Source organism: Homo sapiens, chromosome 16 (genome assembly GCF_000001405.40).
Source record: "Homo sapiens chromosome 16, GRCh38.p14 Primary Assembly".
Taxonomy (NCBI): Eukaryota; Metazoa; Chordata; class Mammalia; order Primates; family Hominidae; genus Homo; species Homo sapiens.
The window spans coordinates 84720220-84737460 of NC_000016.10; the positions used below are offsets into that span (position 1 = coordinate 84720220).

The 17241-nt window shown below is 41.2% G+C and overlaps 1 protein-coding gene and 1 long non-coding RNA gene across 11 annotated transcripts in view, besides 5 other annotated features; one reads left to right on the top strand and one right to left on the bottom strand.

Annotated features, from left to right (window-relative positions):
* Window positions 1–17241, top strand: part of USP10 (ubiquitin specific peptidase 10) — a 79923-nt gene that overhangs the window by 20220 nt on the left and 42462 nt on the right. For 6 of the 10 annotated variants that reach the window (NR_073578.2, NR_073577.2, NM_001272075.2 and 3 more), the window contains one exon: window positions 13216–13284. Coding sequence is in view for 3 of the 10 variants with exons in the window: in NM_001272075.2 (NP_001259004.1) it covers window positions 13216–13284 (69 nt within the window). In the remaining 7 variants the exon portion in view is untranslated. Of the gene's footprint in view, window positions 1–10606; window positions 10672–12833; window positions 12887–13215; window positions 13285–17241 lie in introns of all 10 variants that reach the window. The other 4 variants (XM_047434877.1, XM_011523443.2, XM_006721332.2 and 1 more) reach the window with 2 other exon arrangements.
* Window positions 5844–6138: an enhancer, noted in NCBI's record as "tiled region #11774; K562 Activating DNase unmatched - State 25:Art". NCBI's record gives its function as "activates a minimal TATA promoter and a strong SV40 promoter by Sharpr-MPRA in K562 cells {active_cell/tissue: K562}" and the evidence as "EXISTENCE:reporter gene assay evidence [ECO:0000049][PMID:27701403]".
* Window positions 6263–6312: an enhancer, noted in NCBI's record as "active region_11253". NCBI's record gives its function as "activates an Ori minimal core promoter by ATAC-STARR-seq in GM12878 lymphoblastoid cells {active_cell/tissue: GM12878}" and the evidence as "EXISTENCE:reporter gene assay evidence [ECO:0000049][PMID:35858748]".
* Window positions 6538–7038: an enhancer, noted in NCBI's record as "H3K27ac hESC enhancer chr16:84760363-84760863 (GRCh37/hg19 assembly coordinates)". NCBI's record gives its function as "activates a minimal SCP1, AML or CMV promoter by ChIP-STARR-seq in naive and primed H9 embryonic stem cells {active_cell/tissue: H9 hESC(naive and primed)}" and the evidence as "EXISTENCE:reporter gene assay evidence [ECO:0000049][PMID:30033119]".
* LOC124903737 (uncharacterized) lies at window positions 7262–10350 on the bottom strand. The gene is made up of 3 exons (XR_007065154.1): window positions 10323–10350; window positions 10067–10188; window positions 7262–8835 (listed from the first exon to the last, which is right to left on the bottom strand). It is a non-coding gene; the product is annotated as an uncharacterized LOC124903737 (long non-coding RNA).
* Window positions 15212–16177: an enhancer, noted in NCBI's record as "H3K27ac-H3K4me1 hESC enhancer chr16:84769037-84770002 (GRCh37/hg19 assembly coordinates)". NCBI's record gives its function as "activates a minimal SCP1, AML or CMV promoter by ChIP-STARR-seq in primed H9 embryonic stem cells {active_cell/tissue: H9 hESC(primed)}" and the evidence as "EXISTENCE:reporter gene assay evidence [ECO:0000049][PMID:30033119]".
* Window positions 16178–17143: an enhancer, noted in NCBI's record as "H3K27ac-H3K4me1 hESC enhancer chr16:84770003-84770968 (GRCh37/hg19 assembly coordinates)". NCBI's record gives its function as "activates a minimal SCP1, AML or CMV promoter by ChIP-STARR-seq in primed H9 embryonic stem cells {active_cell/tissue: H9 hESC(primed)}" and the evidence as "EXISTENCE:reporter gene assay evidence [ECO:0000049][PMID:30033119]".

The window sequence follows — 17241 nt, forward strand, 5'->3', positions numbered from 1 at the left end:
GAAGCTCTGCCGTGGCGATGTGCGTTCCTTCCTGGCGGGTGGCCTCCAGTAGCTGGCCTTCTGTTGGTCCGGTTCCAGCGTATTTTATTAAGTGAAAAATCCTGTAGAACAGATGGCACTTACAAGTTTCTGCCCATGTAGCACTCTGTTTAATGAAATACTATAGTTTTGCTTCATTGTTTTTGGCAGTAATTGTCTTTGTGTGGAGTTTGAGTACATGGTCCGAGAAGCTCGGCAGTAATAAAGGTTGAGCCAGGCAAGAATAATCTGAAGTGACTGAGTAATGATGGGACAGAGGCTTCAGAGTGGTGCACAGTTAAATTGAAAACAGATGCAGAATAAAAAGATGATGCCCAATTTTTTTTTTTTTTTTTTTTTTTGAGATGGAGCCTCGCTGTGTTGCCCAGGCTGGAGTGCAGTGGTGCGATCTTGCCTTACTGCAAGCTCCACCTCCTGGGTTCACGCCATTCTCCTGCCTCAGCCTCCTGAGTAGTTAGGACTACAGGTGCCCGCCACCACACCCAGCTAATTTTTTGTATTTTTTAATAGAGACGGGGTTTCACCGTATTAGCGGGGATGGTCTCGATCTCCTGACCTCATGATCTGCCCACCTCGACGTCGCAAAGTGCTGGGATTACAGTCCTGGGCCACCGCGCCCGGCCAATGATGCACAATTTTTTTTTTTTTTTTTTGGGAAGGAGTCTCGCTCTTTTGCCCAGGCTGGAGTGCAGTGGCGCGATCTCAGCTCACGGCAACCTCCGCCTGCCGTATTCAAGCTATTTTCCTGCCTCAGCCTCTCGAGTAGCCGGGAGTACAGGTGCCCGCCACCATGCCTGACTAATTTTTGTATTTTTAGTAAAGACGGGGTTTCACCACTGGCCAGGCTGGTCTTGAACTCCTGACCTCAGGTGATCCACCTGCCTGGGCCTCCCAAAGTGCTGGGATTACAGGTGTGAGCCACCATGCCCGGCAATGATGCAGAATTTTTAAGATGATGTTGTGTAGCACTGGGAGGTCTTTGGACCAAGGAATGTGAAACTAAAAATCCCAGAGTGTGGATGCCTACAAATAGGGTGTACTGAAGAATTCTTCTTCCGTAGATGAGAGATTAACAAATAGAGCGTACTGAGGAATTATTCTTCTGTAAATGAAAGATTACAACTGTGGCCATTGGTCTTCAAGAGCTTTGATTATGGTACTGCTTCATCTGCTTTACATAGATTGTGCATAACAATTTTTAAAAAGTCAACCTTATTGAAGTATAATTTAATACAATAAATGTACCCATTTTAAGTTTGCAGTTCGAGGTTTTTTGTCTTTGTTTTTCAGACGAGGTCTTGCTCTGTCTCCCAGGCTGGAGTGCAGTGGTGTGATCATAGCTCACTGCAGCCTTGACCTCCTGGGTTCAAGCCATCCTCCTGCCTCAGCCCTCCCAAGTAACTGGGACTACAGGCATGTGCCACCAAGTCTGGCTTTGTTTTGTTTTGTTTTGTTTTAGAGATTGAGTCTTGCTCTGTTGCCAGGCTGGAGTGCAGTGGCGCGATCACAGCTCACTGCAACCTCCGCCTCCCGGGTTCAAGCAATTCTCCTGCCTCAGCCTCTCGAGTAGCTGGGACTACAGGCACACGCCGCCACACCTGGCTAATTTTTTGTGTTTTCATAGAGACAGGGTTTCACCGTGTTGCCTAGGCTGATCTTGAACTCCTCTCAAGTGATCCTCTCACCTTGGCCTCCCAAAGTGCTGGAATTACAGGCTGGGAGCCATCACGCCCAGCCCAGTTTGAGTTTTGACAGATGTATACACCAAAGTAGTAACTACTACCACACTCCATATATAGAACATTTCCATTGCTCAGAGAGTTTCTTCATGCCCCTTTGCCATGAATCCCCACCTTGTCCAGGCAGCTAGTGGTCTGCTTCTGTCACTATAGGCTAAGAAAGTTTGCCTTTTCTAGAATTACATTGGCCCAGAATTACACAAACTGTACTCTTTTGTTTGGTTACCTTCACCTGACCCAACTATTTAGATTTAGCCATGTTGAGTGTTGAGTTCCAGCCTTTTCAGTACTGGGTAGTATTCCTTTGTGGATGTCCCACAGTTTGCTTGTCTCTTTCCTCTTGATAGACATTTTTGTTGTTCCCACTGTTTGAATCTGCTGTTCACATTCATGTACAAGTGTCTGTGTGGACATAGGTTTTCATTTCTTGTGGGTAAAATGTGGTAAGCGTATATTCTATTCTGTAAGAAACTGCAAGGCTTTTTCAAAGCGGCCATGCCGTTTTCTATCTGCACCAGCAGTGTATGAGAATGCTTCTTCTCTGTCCTCACCAACATTTGATATTGTCAGTCTTCTTTTTTTGAGACAGAGTCTCACTCTGTCTCCCAGGCTGGAGTGCAGTGGTGTGATCTTGGCTCACTGAAACCTTCACCTCCCAGGTTTAAGCAGTTCTCCTGCTAGCCTCCCGAGTAGCTGGGATTACAGGCAGACTCCCCCACGCCCAGCTAATTTTTGTATTTTTAGTAGAGATGGAGTTTCACCATGTTGGCCAGTCTCGAACTCCCTAACCTCAAGTGATTTGTCCGCCTCGGCCTCCCAAAGTGCTGGGATTACAGGTGTGAGCCACTGCGTCCGGCTCAGTCGTCTTAATTTTATAGTACATCAATTTAAATGATAATTTTTTGTCCCTAGGAACATGAGTTCCTGTCATTGACAGCAAAGTGAAACTGAGTACAAATAGGTGGTTCTTAGTGAAATGTGCCCAGAAAGACAGTTTGAGCAGAAAGGAGGGACCAAGAAATACAGGATGCATGCCTGCTTCACACTGGAAACCGGTGGTCTTATTTGAGGGTCAAAGATGGGGGGTGGGGAATAAAGTCGATTTTAAAAGGATTGACCGGCTCCGATACCTTCTGATCACATCCAGGGTTTTTTTTTTTTTGGCCTTTTTTCCCCCTTATACACTTAAGATTTTGAAAAGTGGTTTCTCTTTAGCTTGGGAAATGGATCACATGGTAATTGTTAATGATTTTTCTTTAGGTCAAAATAGGTGTTCCTTTAAAGTGTTCTGTGAAGCTTAATTCACTTACGTTGAATAAGTCTTATATTTTAAAATATAAGTTTAAGTGTTATACTTTAAAAATAAGTGTTATTTCTTGATTGTATTTATTTGAAGATTATATTTGAGAATGAAAGATGTACTCCTAGCTGGAACATCTCTGGTGATAATAAAAACATGAGAATAAAAACCATTCAGAGTGATCAAGTTAAGACTGTCAGCCCACTGACGCCTGGGAAGTCACAATGATTGCTATGTAGTTTGGAGAAATTATTCCTTATCCTTAGATAAGCTTTTTATTTGTGTGGGTTTTTTCATCTTCCTCTTCCTGAATTCATTTGTTCAACAAAGCTATTTTGAGCACCTACTCTATGCCAAGTCTACTGCATTAACTTCTGGCTAAACAAAGATGGATCTAACTCGATTCTTGTACTTTAAAGAAATCAGCTTTATGGAGGTATAACGTATGTGCGGTGAATTTCACCCATTTAAAGTGTATATTTCCATGAATTTTAACAGATGTATTCATTTGTGTAATCACCTCCACAATCAAGACACCAGTTCTGTCATTCCCCAGAATGACATTGAGCCCCCTTGCAGCCTCTTCTTTTGTTCGTCCTTGGCCCCAGCAAAGATAGAACTGCTTCTGTTACAGTTTCTTTTTTATTGGTTTCATCTTCCATTTCTTTTTTTCTTAAGGTCAGCACCAAGGTGATTGTAATGAATATGAAAGTTGGTGGAATCTTGAACTTCTACTAGGGCTATCCCAGATAAAGTTGACTGAATTTACTCCCTAATTTATCTGCTGTGTTTCATACAATAGCAATTTTACACAGGAAGTTATTCAATAATGAGGGCTATCTATATTACCTTGCTATTTAGTACTAGTTAAGAGCAAAGCGAGTTAAAATTTAATGGCCATTTTGTAATACAGTTCTAATATAGACACAGGACTGGAAAGTTGGTAAAAGTGGGTTTCTGTTAAGTGAATCATGTTTTCTAATTTGGAGATTCAATCTGAATTCAATCTAAAATTTCTGAAGGAAATTTTAGCTCGGAATCTCCATGAAAGCACTTAATATACAGCCAACCTGTTAAAAACCATACTTTGAGAGGTAAAATGATTACTTTTTGATAGCACTTTAATAGTAGAAATAGAATATACAAACAGGGAAGTAGACACTCAATTGCAGTACTTTGACATTTGAGTTTCAAGGAGAGAGGCTGCCTGTGAGAGTGACTTTGTGATAGTTTGTCTACTTTGTTCGCTTCTCAGGACCTCTTTGCCCCAAGAAAGTAAAGCAAAATTTTGCTATAGCCCTATTAGTGAGGGAACAAAACTTCTCTTCCTCCTTCTTCCTTTGTCTGCTTCTGCCATTTGTAACACTTAGTTCAGCTTGCAGTTGGCTTGCACTGTAATAAAACTGTAAATGTCACCATGCCCTGACCCCTGTGTGTGTTGTGTTCAAAGTTTTACTCTCGTAGTCTCGCATAGTTGAGTGTGGATTGTTGATGCTCAGTGCATATTGTTAAATTGGCGAACTTCCTGGTGTGCATTCACTAGTTGATGATAGTGTCATCTCCAGATGTCCTCAGAACCACCCACACCACCTTCTGAAGTTGAAAGCACACAATGATTGTTCAGTAGATATCAGCTAGCACCCATAACTTACTGGGCTTTGATTCATAAAGCCTAGTAAAGAAATTAAAATTTTTATTTTGATATAAGTACTGACCTTTTTTAAAACTTTATTGAGATATAATTCACATGCTGTGGAGTTTGTGTATTTGAATAAATATGCATTTCAGTGGTTTTTAGTGTATTCACAAAGTTTTGCAGCTAACACCGTAGTCCATTTTAGAACATTTCATCATCCCCAAAAGAAAGCTCATGTTCATTAGCAGTCACCGCCTCCCGCTCCCCCATTCTCCTCTCCTCCCAGCCCTTGGCAACCATGATCTTTCTGTGTCTGGTAATTTGCCTATTCTTGGCATTTCATATGAATGGAAGAAACAATTTATGGCTCTTTGTGTGTGGCTTTAACTTAGTATAATGTTTTCAAAGTCATCCTGTTGTAGCATGCATTAGTCTGATGACATTTTCTTTTTCTTTTTCTCTTTCTTTTCTTTTTTCTTTTTTGAGACGGAGTTTTGCTCTTGTTACCCGGGCTGGAGTGCAAATGGCACGATTTCCGCTCACTGCAACCTCTGCCTGCTGGGTTCAAGCAATTCTCCTGCCTCAGCCTCCTGAGTAGCTGAGATTAGAGGCGCCTGCCACCATGCCCGGCTAATTTTTTTTTGTGTTTTTAGTAGAGACAGGGTTTCACCATGTTGGCAGTCTGTTCTCTGACTCCTGACCTCAGGTGATCCACCCGCCTCGGCCCCCCAGAGTGCTGGGATTACAGGTGTGAGCCACCGTGCCCGGCCTGTCTGACGACATTTTCAAACCCGTGTTTCTTAATCCTTTTTAGATCCAAGAGATCCTTTTGGAGATGGGAAGAATTTTAGAAGTTGTCTGGTCCAACATACCTTCATTTTGTAGATGAGATTAAGGCTTTAATCATGCCAAACAGTCTATTGCTCTTTTCATGTTTCCCCAAATTGAGCTTATTTGGATCAGGAGAAGAGGGAGAATACTTTATACTTCTCAGCTTCTTGTGTATTTGACTGTGACCTGGTTATACCATTTGCCACTGTGAGGCTTAGCTGTGCATCTGTGAATGGGAGATTGTTCTTAGAGATTGGTCATAGTTGTCCACCTGCCTCGGAAACTGCAGGTACAAATGCAGCAGCAAAGTATTTACATTCTTACTTCAGGGCTGATCTCCTATTTCTATCAGTCCTTTTGAAGGCAGAGAATGTTAATTTGGAACAACCTGCATATTTATTCAAATTTCCAGAGAGATGAAACTTTCAGAATGCTGTGCTGCAGCGCCCCCTAGTGCCGTGCTGTACTGATAGTCCCCAGCGTCTCCTGAAGCCGAAAGTGGCGTTTCCCGCAGTTCCGGCGGGAGAGCTGTAGCCAGCAGGTTGTGCAAGTGAACATTAGACATCTTTTCTCCTTCTCGCCTTCCTTGGGCTGAGATGGAGGAATGTGTCTTTATTGCTGAGGGCAAGGTCTTTGTTTTTCCTTTAGCAGGAACACTGGTTTTCCCACTTCGTCTAAACCTTTGCCCAGGGTTTCTCAACTCAGGCCCCCTGAGGGCCGTAGTGGCCTCCACACACCTCCAGAAGGTAAACTGAGCCAGCTTAGCCAACAGGCTATGCTTCAGGGAGGAAGGTGTCTTTTGTTCCCATCCCTGCTGTGGTGTGGGCTTGCCCCCCTTTTCTCGAAGTGTTTCTTGTATATTTTTTTCCACATCCTCTTGAGAAAGGATCAGAAAGTAAAGATGTGAACAGTGAGAGTTTTGAAAGCCCGGGATGGAGGCCGGATGGGATATGAGGGGAAGTGGTGGAGGGGAATAAATAGCTTCTCTAGTTCACAGTCTTACTTCCCCTAAAAAGGGGAAGAAATGCCTGAAGCCCTTGTACTTTGCTCCCCCGAATCGCAGGCATTTCTGTGCCGTCCCGCCCCTGGGCATTTCCTATGCAACCACAGGACGCGGGAAAGGAGCGTTTGTTACTGCTTTCTGATACCTCCTTTTGACCCCAGTGTTCTGACTCTGGCAGAGTTGCTGAAACCTTAGGGGGCTTCCCAGTCTTTCCTGATGGTATTTGGTGTAGCTGTGGGAAGGGCAGAGTTAGCCGCAGCAGTGTCACAGTTTCTGTGGTGTGGCATGGCTGACAGGGCCTCCAGGTACCTGCTTTTATTTTAATGACAGCCACCAATATGTCCTAAGCTCTGCACTTTCTTTGAAATTACAAGAAACGATGAACTTACTCGTGCTTTTTAGTCTCCCGTGTGAACTGAATTGTTCTGTATTTTATCTTGCTCTGTTATGGGCAAAACTAATTCATGTCATCAGTGGCATTTCCCTCTTCACTAGGTTGTAAATCCTGTGAAGTCAGACACAGCGTTATTTTCATCTTTATTTTACCCAAACACCTACAATTTTCCCCCCTCATGTGACAGCCTTTGAAATAAGTTAATCTTCCAGAGGAGAGAAAACACTAAACAGTCAAACATAAGGAGAGGGTAAAGGTTTTCCTCATAACCTCACAATTTTCAGTGTTAGCTTTAAAAAAACAAACAAACAAACAAACAAACAAACAAAAACTCTTTATTTGCAAATAGTTTGAAACTTGAAAAGTTGCGGAAAGAAAAATAGTACAAAGAATCCCCAGATGGTCCTTTACCCAGATCCACCTGTTGTTAAGATTAAATCCATTTGCTTAATCATTTGTGTGTGCTGGAATTCTCTGTCTGCAAATACACACTCATACGGATACACATACAGACACACAGACATGGGCTAACAAATGCAAATATACAGACATACAATATTTTTCCAAACCCTTTGAGATTTCAGGGAAGATTACATACACTGTAGCCACTTAATCCTAAATTCTTGAATGTGTATTTCCTAAGAATAGGCATATTCTCTTAAATAACCACAGTAATACGTTACCACTTTCACAAATTTACATTGATGCAGTACTTTTTTCTAACCTGTCCATATTCTAATTTTGGGAGTTGACCATATAATGTCCTTTCTAGAATTTTCCCTTCCAGCACAGGATCCAGTCTAGGGTCAGGAAATGTATTTAGTTATCATGTCTCTAGCTTTTTGTAGTCTGGAAGTTTCCCACAGCCTTTCAGGATATTGACTTTTTTGAACAGCAGTTTCTCCTCCCCTCTTTTGATAACATTCCTCATTTTACCAAACACCTAAAATAACATTTGATTGGAAGTTAGGAAGGCTTTTGGAGAAGGAGATGGTGAAACCAGAACATTTTAATAGCAGTTGGCTGTCCTGAATTTCTGTGATAAACTTTTTGGTGTCACAAACATGCCTTGCTTCAACATTTAGTCAGATATCATTTTAGTTAAATAATTGTCACTCACTGGTATTTGCTATAAATATATTGAATAAATTGAATAAATAATTGAAATATATTGAATAAATATTTGGCCTTTTTTACTTTTTTTTTTTCTCGCTGTTGCCCAGGCTGGAGTTCAGTGGTGCGATCTCGGCTCACTGCAACCTCTGCCTCCCCGGTTCAAGCGATTCCCCTGCCTCAGCCTCCCGGGTAGCTGGGACTACAAGCATGTGCCACCACGCCCGGCTAATTTTTGTATTTTTAATAGAGACGGGGTTTAGCCAGGATGGTCTCAATCTCCTGACCTCGTGATCCGCCTGCCTCGGCCTCCCAAAGTGCTGGGATTACAGGCGTGAGCCACCGTGTCCGGCCTCCTTTTGTAGTTTTATCAAAATTATAATTTATGTCCGTCCACTCACTGGTATTTGCTACTGAATAAGTATTTGGCCATTTTCCCTTTTTGTAGTTTTATCAGCATATGCAAAAATTACCTTTTTTCCTCCCAATAAAGTTGTCATATTCTGTTTTATAAGCAGCACCTCTTCTTTTTTCTTTTTTTTGAGACGGAGTCTTCCTCTGTCATTCAGGCTGGAGTGTAGTGGCACCATCTTGGCTCACTGCAGCCTCCGCCTTCCAGGTTCACGTAATTCTTCTGCATCAGCCTCCCAAGTAGCTGGGATTACAGGCACCCACCACCATGCCTGGCTAATTTTTGTATTTTTAGTGGAGGTGGATTTCACCATTTTGGCTGGGCTGGTCTTGAACTCCTGAAGTCAAGTGATCTGCTCGCCTCGGCTTCTGGAAGTGACGAGATTACAAGCGTGAGCCACCGTGTCTGGCCAAGCAACACTTTGTCTTTTGGAATAGTGTTGATAATAAATGCTTCTTCATTGTAGTGCTTTGAATGATGCATATGATTTTGTTAAATACAAAAATGATGTCTTAACCTTCACATTTGTATGGATTATTTTATCACATCATTCATAATCCATGTTTGAATGGTTACCATGCCAGCTTACTTTGCCAAGAAAGAAATATTTATCGTTTTTCAAAATGTGCATTGCAATTCTAAGAAATTCCGTTTTATTCTTAGGATTCCCCTAGCTTGTGATATCGATGACTTGTCTTTTACTGACATTTGATAGTTAACTCCCCAAATAGAGGATTCCTTTATATGTGGTTATTGGGTTGTATCAGAATTCCTGCTTGAGTATAAGTTATATTTGTATTGACACATAGGAAAAAGATACATGTAGTTTATCTGCCATGAGCATATGGGGAATACTCATTGTATGGGAGATGGAAATTCTAATCAAGTTCCCCGGGAGGCTGAGCGCCTTGCAGAGATGCTCTTAAACCCTTGGCACTGACTTCTTAGCCCGTTCCTTTATTTCAGTTATAAAATCGAAAGGACCGGTTTTAAATATTGCTGAAGTGTAACTGCTCACTTTTAAAAGCTCATGCATTTAAGGATTAAAATGTGATTCACGTGTATTTTGATGGAGTTGTTTTTTGAGCTATGTGAGCCAGTGTTAAGGAAATTAAGTTGGAGTTCAAAACAGCCGTGGCTAGTGATTTGTCAAGTGTTAAATGATAGTTCAGTGTTGCATAGCTGGTAATCAGCAGTTACTTATGGTGTATTTTTTTGCGTGACATGTTTTCATCAAGTCCTAAGCTGTTGTCAATGAGCTCTTGAAACTAACATGCTTATGAAATTATGTCTGTGCAAAATGGGTGTATTTGAAGAGTTGTAAGGTGATTTCTGTTGTGTTTACTTTTTATGATTAATGTTTTGAATAAAGTATGTAGTCCCCTCCCAAGAAAACCCTCCAAAAAACGTGCTAGGAAATCCCCTCCACTCCTGTCTGCGTCCACTCAGCGTCCACTCAGTGCTACTGTCCCAAAGGTGAAGGGCCACATTTTTTCTTGTTGATCTTTCCAGTGTCTCTTTATGCAGACACAAATATCTATATTATTAACAAACACAAATATGTTATTATATAGCAACACAGATACTCTATTTTCCTACCTTTTTTACACCGAGAGTGCTTTCTTCTTTTAATAGTATTTTGAAGATCTCTCGCTGTCTGTACCTAAAGTTCTTCCTCATTTTCCCCTAGTTAATTCTGTAATTTGATTGAAGGTACATATCTGTGGAGAAATTATTGACATGAAGTTATAATAAAAACACGCTTAAAATCTATAACATTTTCTCAGATACTTTAAAAATAATTAAGTAAAACTAATAAATTTGAAAATAATAGGAGAAAAAAAACTCAGTGAACCGTTTCTGAGCGTTCCAGCTCATGACTTGAGGGTGTTTGCCGCTGACTCATGCTGAAGCCACTTGGTGTCTGCGTTTGAAACAGGAAGTGTGTGTTAGTGGCTTGGAATCTTGTTTTCTCCTCCTCTCCTCCTCTGCTGCCAAGATTTTTATCAAATCATTTGGATTTGTAGTGTTCTTACTGGATTGACCAGCTCTAAAAACTTTAGGCTGTATATGAACTGAAATAAGAAAGTGTGCTTAGAAGTATGATTTAAATAAACATTTTTATTTTCCATTGTCTAGGAAGAAAACCTTCCTAAAGAAAATACCTGATAATCCTGCAGAACATTCTGATTTCTTATCCTTAGGTATCTTCCCCACATTCTGAAGTAAAAGGCCTTTCTTGTTAGTCATAAGATAAAATGGATAACTTTTAATATATAGCATTTCTACCTTTTTTTTTTTTTTTTTTTTTTGACACGGAATCTCTCTCTGTCAGCAGGCTGGAGTGCAGTGGCTCATTCTCGGCTTGCTGCAACCTCCACCTCCCGGGTTCAAGCGATTCTCCTGCATCAGCCTCCTGAGTAGCTGGGACTACAGGTGCATGCCACCATGCCCGGCTAATTTTTTGTATTTTTAGTAGAGACGGGGTTTCACCGTGTTAGCCAGGATGGTCTCGATCTTCTGACCTCATGATCCGCCCACCTCGGCCTCCCAGAGTGCTGGGATTACAGGTGTGAGCCACCGCTCCCGGCCTCTACTTTTTTTTTTTTTTTAACTGCTCGTTGCAGAGCAGGGCTACGCCATAGGCAATGTGCACAGAGTAGCCACGTTTCTACTATTGATATTAAACAAAACAGCATGATTTTAGTTTATTTATTCTTAATATTTGCATTAAACTTCACAGCTGCCGTGTGTTTCTTGTATTTTACTTCTTTATCATTCTTGTATTTCTCGAATTCATTTTCTGGAATTCTTAAGCAGTTTCCTTTCCTCCCCCCAAGAAAAAGGTGTATGTGACAGAAAGTGTTCTTTCTCTTTTGCACTTGAAAAGTAGTTTATAGAATTCTATGAAAAAATACTCTGGCATTCTAGGAACAAAATCCTTTTTTCTCGAAACTTTCAAAATGTTGCCCCATTGCCTTCCATAGCCTTGTTGATTTTGCTATTAAGACGTTCTGTTGAGTTTTTTAATTTAGTGATTTAAAATTAGTAATTAATTTCCGCGAACACTTTCATGATCTCTGATAGCTCTTTTTTTTTTGTGATAGTCTGTGCTAATTTTTTCTGCTTCCTTTTAGCCTATAGAATTTTCCCTTCCATTGCTTTGAGGGTTTCTTAGTGAAATTCATATCATCTTTTCCCAGTGTTGGTGATGAGAAGAAGGTGTAACCTTCTATATTCTTCACTGAAAAGTGACAGTATTTCAGAAGATCATTTCTGAACCATTTTGAGGCTCTGTTTATTTTCACTGTTACTGTCAATACATAATTTCTTTGTTGACTTTTGCAAGTATATGTAAATATTATATGAAAACTTTTTTGTTCTTAATGTATATTTATAGTTTTGGTAGATGTTGTCAAAGAGCTCTCCAGAAACGTTTTCCCTGTGCATTCTTACCAGGAGGGTATTACATTTAGTGGCCATTTATTCACATTTACAATAATAATGAGTATTATTCATTTATGTAATATTTAGTTACTGGTTATTTTTGAATCACTTGGCTTGTAAATTTCCCTGGAAGCTACTAGACTGTTTAGTTCCATTAGAACAGAGGAACCACACTCTGCTTACCATTTTTATACCCAGTACTGATCATACGTGGGCATTTGTAGGTTCTAAATAATTATTGATTAAATGAATGAATCATTGCTTCTCCGTTGTGGAAATTGCTAATTCTTCTCAATGACTTCTTCTTCTTCTTTTTTTTTTTTTTCTTTTTGAGATGGAGTCTGGCTCTGTCGCCCCGGCTGGGGTGCGGTGGCGCGATCTCAGCTCACTGCAACCTCGGCCTCCCTGGTTCAAGCAATTCTCCTGGCTCAGCCTCCCGAGCAGCCGGGACTACAGGTACACGCCACCACGCCTGGCTAATTTTTGTATTTTTAGTAAAGATGGGGGTTTCACCATGTTGGCCAGGCTGGTCTCGAATTCCTGACCTTAAGTGATTCGCCCATGTCAGCCTCCCAGAGTGCTGGGATTATAGGCGTGAGCTACTGCGCCAGGCCTCAATGACTTGTTTCTTGAAGCTCCATGGAGAATATGAACTGGTAGGCACTTGCCAGACTCACATCCGTGCAGTTTAACCACTTCGTTTTCCAGAAAATCACATTCTGAATTCCGTGAAATCAGGCTTGCAACAAGGGCTGTGTCTGTCTGATAATATGTGTATCTGTGTATCCTATGGAAATGCATTTTTAAACTAAGAAGTTATATAGATATTTTTAAAGATCATTAATCAGGATCATTAACATTTTCCTTTTTTGGATTTCCTTGTCTTCCCATTTGAACCACGTTTTCTGCTTTTCTTTAGTATGTTTGGCAGAGAAAGCGGAAATGGAGGTAGTGGCATGAGTCAGCAGAAAGGTAAATGGAACAACTGGCAGTATTTGTGAACCAATAAAAATCTCCTGCAAGCAGGACTCGACAAGTTTGGCATACAAAATTGATTTGTTTCAAAATAAGCTTTATCAGTTTCATAGTGTTCTTTGACAATTTGTAGGAAAGGTTCAGTAGTATTTCTTTTATATAAACAACCTAGAACTCTGAGTTGCAGATCCTCTGTTTAATTGAGAAAGGATCTTGGGGGTTATGGCCCAAATGTTGCATAGGATTGTTAAAATATGTAGCATTTTTTCTGAAAGTATATAATTTGTATATTTTATGTGATCAGTGACTCTCTTATTTTTTTTCAGTATATTTTTGGAGATTTTAGCCCTGATGAATTCAATCAATTCTTTGTGACTCCTCGATCTTCAGTTGAGGTAAGACAAAACTTTGTTTTAGTGAGTCCGTGGGTAGATACAATTAATAGTTATGTTTCTATTTTAATTTGTTTTTTTAAATAAAGAATTCCAATGTAGAGAAAAGTATGGAGACTAATATGAGAAATGCCTCAACCCACCAACTAGATTTGACTGACATTTGATTTGACATTTTGCTGTATTTACTTTATTAGGCTTTGAAAAGCAAATAAAACATTACAGATGCAACTGAAGCCTCCTTTGGACCTCTCTCCCATCTCTCCCCAGAAGTAACTACTCTGCTGAAATTGGGAAATATTGGTCCTGACTGGTTTTCACCTTTTATCATATACGTGTATATCACCATAGTCAATCGTAGTGTTTTATGTGCTTTAAAGTGTCACGTAAATGGTATACTATATTCAGTTTGTCGTTTATTTTAAGCTAACGTTGTATTCTTTATGCTAAGAAATTTGTCCTTGTTCTTTGATTTCCAGTGCTCAGTACCACTGATTGAACACACTGCAATTTACTTACATATTTTCCTGTCGAGGGCCATTTAGGTCTCTAGTTCAGCCGTTAAAAATATTGCACTCAATGTATTTTATCATGTCTCCTGGTGCCCCTCTGTGGGCTCCTCCGGGACACAGACCTGGGAATGGAATTACTGGGTTCTGTGGACCGAGCCTCTTTAGTTTCACTAGAGACTGCTCGTTTGCTATCTAGGATTTTAACAGTCTTCATTCCCATCAGCAGTGCATGGGAGTTTTCTTGCTCGTATTAAAAAAAAAATCTTGCTAACTCTTGGTGTTGGCATATTTAAAATTTTGTGAATCTGATGTGTGTAGTAAATGGACTCTCATTGTTTTAATTTACATCTCCCAGATTACAAACAGCTGGGTACTATTTCATTCTCTTCACGTCTGCTGGCAATACGGATGTCCTCTGCTGTGAATTACTTGGTTTATATCCCTTGTCCATATTTTTAAATCAAGTAGCTTGTCTTTTTCTTACTGATTTTAGGATTAATCTTTGGTTTTACAGGCATCTGTTCCTAGCATGAGGGCTTTAAGCTTCACATGTTAGGTGAACCCTTTTTGGGGTTGGGTTTTTTTGTTGTTGTTGTTGGATAAGAGGAGTACACTTTCAACTTTAATGTCAACTGAATTGATTTTTTTTTCCTTATAGTTTGTGGATTTTTAGTTTTAAAAATATCTTTAGGAAATTCTTCCCATCCTTTAGATAACGAAGATATTTGTCTGTTTTCTTCTAAAAGTTTTCAGATTTTGTTTTCACGCTTCAGTGTGTAATAAGCTGAAATTGAGGCACTGAATTTTGTATATGTGTGAGGTGGCATCGAACTCCCTGCCCCTGTGGCCCTGGCAGGTGCCTCCTCACCATTCATTGGGAACTCGGCCCTTAGCTGTCCTGTCAGCCCCGTTGGGCAGTGCATCTCCCCTGGTTCCGAGTGTGCTATTCTGTGGGCCTATTGCTTATCTCTGTATAAACACCACACGTTTTATTTTATTTTTTTATTTCTATTTTTTCTTTTCTTTTCTTTTTTTCGAGACAGGGTCTCACTCTGCCCAGGCTGGAGTGCAGAGTGCAATCACAATTCACTGCAACTTTGACCCCCCGCCCCGCCTCAGGGGGGTTCTCATGCTTCAGCCCCTGAATAGCTGGGATTACAGGTGTGTGCTGCCAGGCCCGGGTGGTGTGTGTGTGTGTGTGTGTGTGTGTGTGTGTGTGTGTGTGGTGTGTGTGTTTTTAAGTAAGGGGATTTTGTATTTTTTCCCACATCACACTGATGTAACCATACGTTTTAGTTGCTACAGGTTTTCTCAAGTGTGTACACATGTGGATGGGTGGGTACCTGTTTGCAAGTGAGTAGACAAAAACTTGAGTTTTCATGTGATAGGAAAGTGAAAAGTGCACCGTATTTCAAGTCTGAAGGCCTGGGGTCGCTTCAGTTCTGCCACTTCCACAGGCTCGGAGGGTTTGGGCACGTTCTTTCCTTTTGGGCCTCCCATTTCTTTTCTCTTTCTTTTGTTTTTTAAATTGAAAAAATGCAGAATGCTTATTCACGTCACAGAAATGTTGGGAAATCAGCTAATGTATGGTCCGATAACTAGTGAGTAACAGATGTTAGTAGAAATGGATGAAAAGGGTACAGATGGTAAGTTATGCCAAACCTTTTATTCACAGAAGACGTGACTGTGTCTCATGAAAATGAGCTCAAGCTTCAGAACTCGTAGTGTGTGTGGGCTTATTTGGGCTTTTCTGTTTTTCTTATTTTTTAACATACGGTGAAGTTTGGAGGGGTATAAAAAGAGTTTATCAAAATCACAGTAACCTGCAAAAGGGAAATGCAGGCTAATTAACATAATCGGATGGAGTTGTTTTCCCCAATCTTCAGGAATCTGAATTATAATAGCACATGATTACACAGGAACTCACTTTCATGGGGCGGCATGTGGTTGGGCCTGTGGGTGTGTGAGTGGCGAGGGCGTGTCACTTGGACCTGTGGGTGTGTGAGTGGCGAGGGCGTGTCACTTGGACCTGTGGGTGTGTGAGTGGCGAGGGCGTGTCACTTGGACCTGTGGGTGTGTGAGTGGCGAGGGGAGGGCGTGTCACTTCTACAGCACAGTTTGGCCTTTTATCTCTCAGGTAACATAATTGCCGCTCAAACATGCAGTGTTTCTACCATGTGGCTGTGGCATGAGTTACAATCTAGTCGAATTTTTCATATGCTTTTTCTCCGTTGTTAGGAGCTTGATAAAATATTGTTTTCTCTACTTGGGGCCATGAATTGAAAAACCAAAATTAAGAAATGTGGGATGTTAAGATGAAAGAGCATTCTGCCTTCCTGCAGAAGCGCCTCCTGCCAGCGGAGGGCTGCTTTGTCTTTTAGTTTGCTTGCTTGGCAGCTTGCCACTGGCAAGATAAGGTGGCTAGTAATTTAGTGGCATCAGGAGAAACGAATTCAGGTGAAAGGTAGCTGGCATCTTTTCTAGAGTTGTGCTCCAGTGATTTAAAAATTATTTTCTCCAGTGGAAAAAATGCAGTCACCTTATTTAATAAGCATGTTTAAACCTCAGTCGTAATCCTGTTATTTATGTTCAGAAAGAAAGAGAAAATGCTCACCATTCTTTAGTTTCCAGAATCTCAGCTTTGGAAGTAGCACACATCCCAACCATGACTGAGTCAATAAGCCCCCGATGACATAGTGTTGGCAGTGGGCAGTGTGTGTGGTGTGGGTGTGTGTGGGTACTCATGGAGAGTAGAGAGTAGAGACAGTTCTTAATTTGGTGTGTTTTCTTTTTTGAGAGGGAGTCTCGCTCTCTCGCCCAGGCTGGACTGCAGGGGCGTGATCTCGGCTCACTGCAAGCTCCGCCTCCCGGGTTCACACCATTCTCCTGCCTCAGCCTCCCGAGTAGCTGGGACTACAGGCGTCCGCCACCTCGCCCGGCTAATTTTTTGTGGTTTTAGTAGAGGCGGGGTTTCACCGGGTTAGCCAGGATGGTCTTGATCTCCTGACCTCGTGGTCTGCCCGCCTCGGCTTCCCAAAGTGCTGGGATTACAGGCGTGAGCCACCACGCCCGGCCTAATTTGGTATCTTAATGGGATTTTAAAGGAGGGCTTTGTGGTTCAGGAGAGTCTTTGAGACGGAAAGCAGAACACACAGGTAGCCCAGAGGGAGACTTCAGAACATGACCTTCCTATAGCCACGGGCCCAGGTATCCTTTTCACAAGGCCGCAGCACTGTTTTCACACTGTGCGTTTAGCATAACTATTAATAGATGACAGTTTTTTCCCTTGCTCACTTTGCATTTGTCTAGGGAATTTTATGTCTTTGCTTTGATTTTTGAACTTTGTATTCTTACAAATAGTTATATAGTTAATGAGTGAACTTCGAACCATCCTGGCACTTTTATTCTGTTGTGTATTTAGATACCCAGTTACCACAGACTAAGTGCA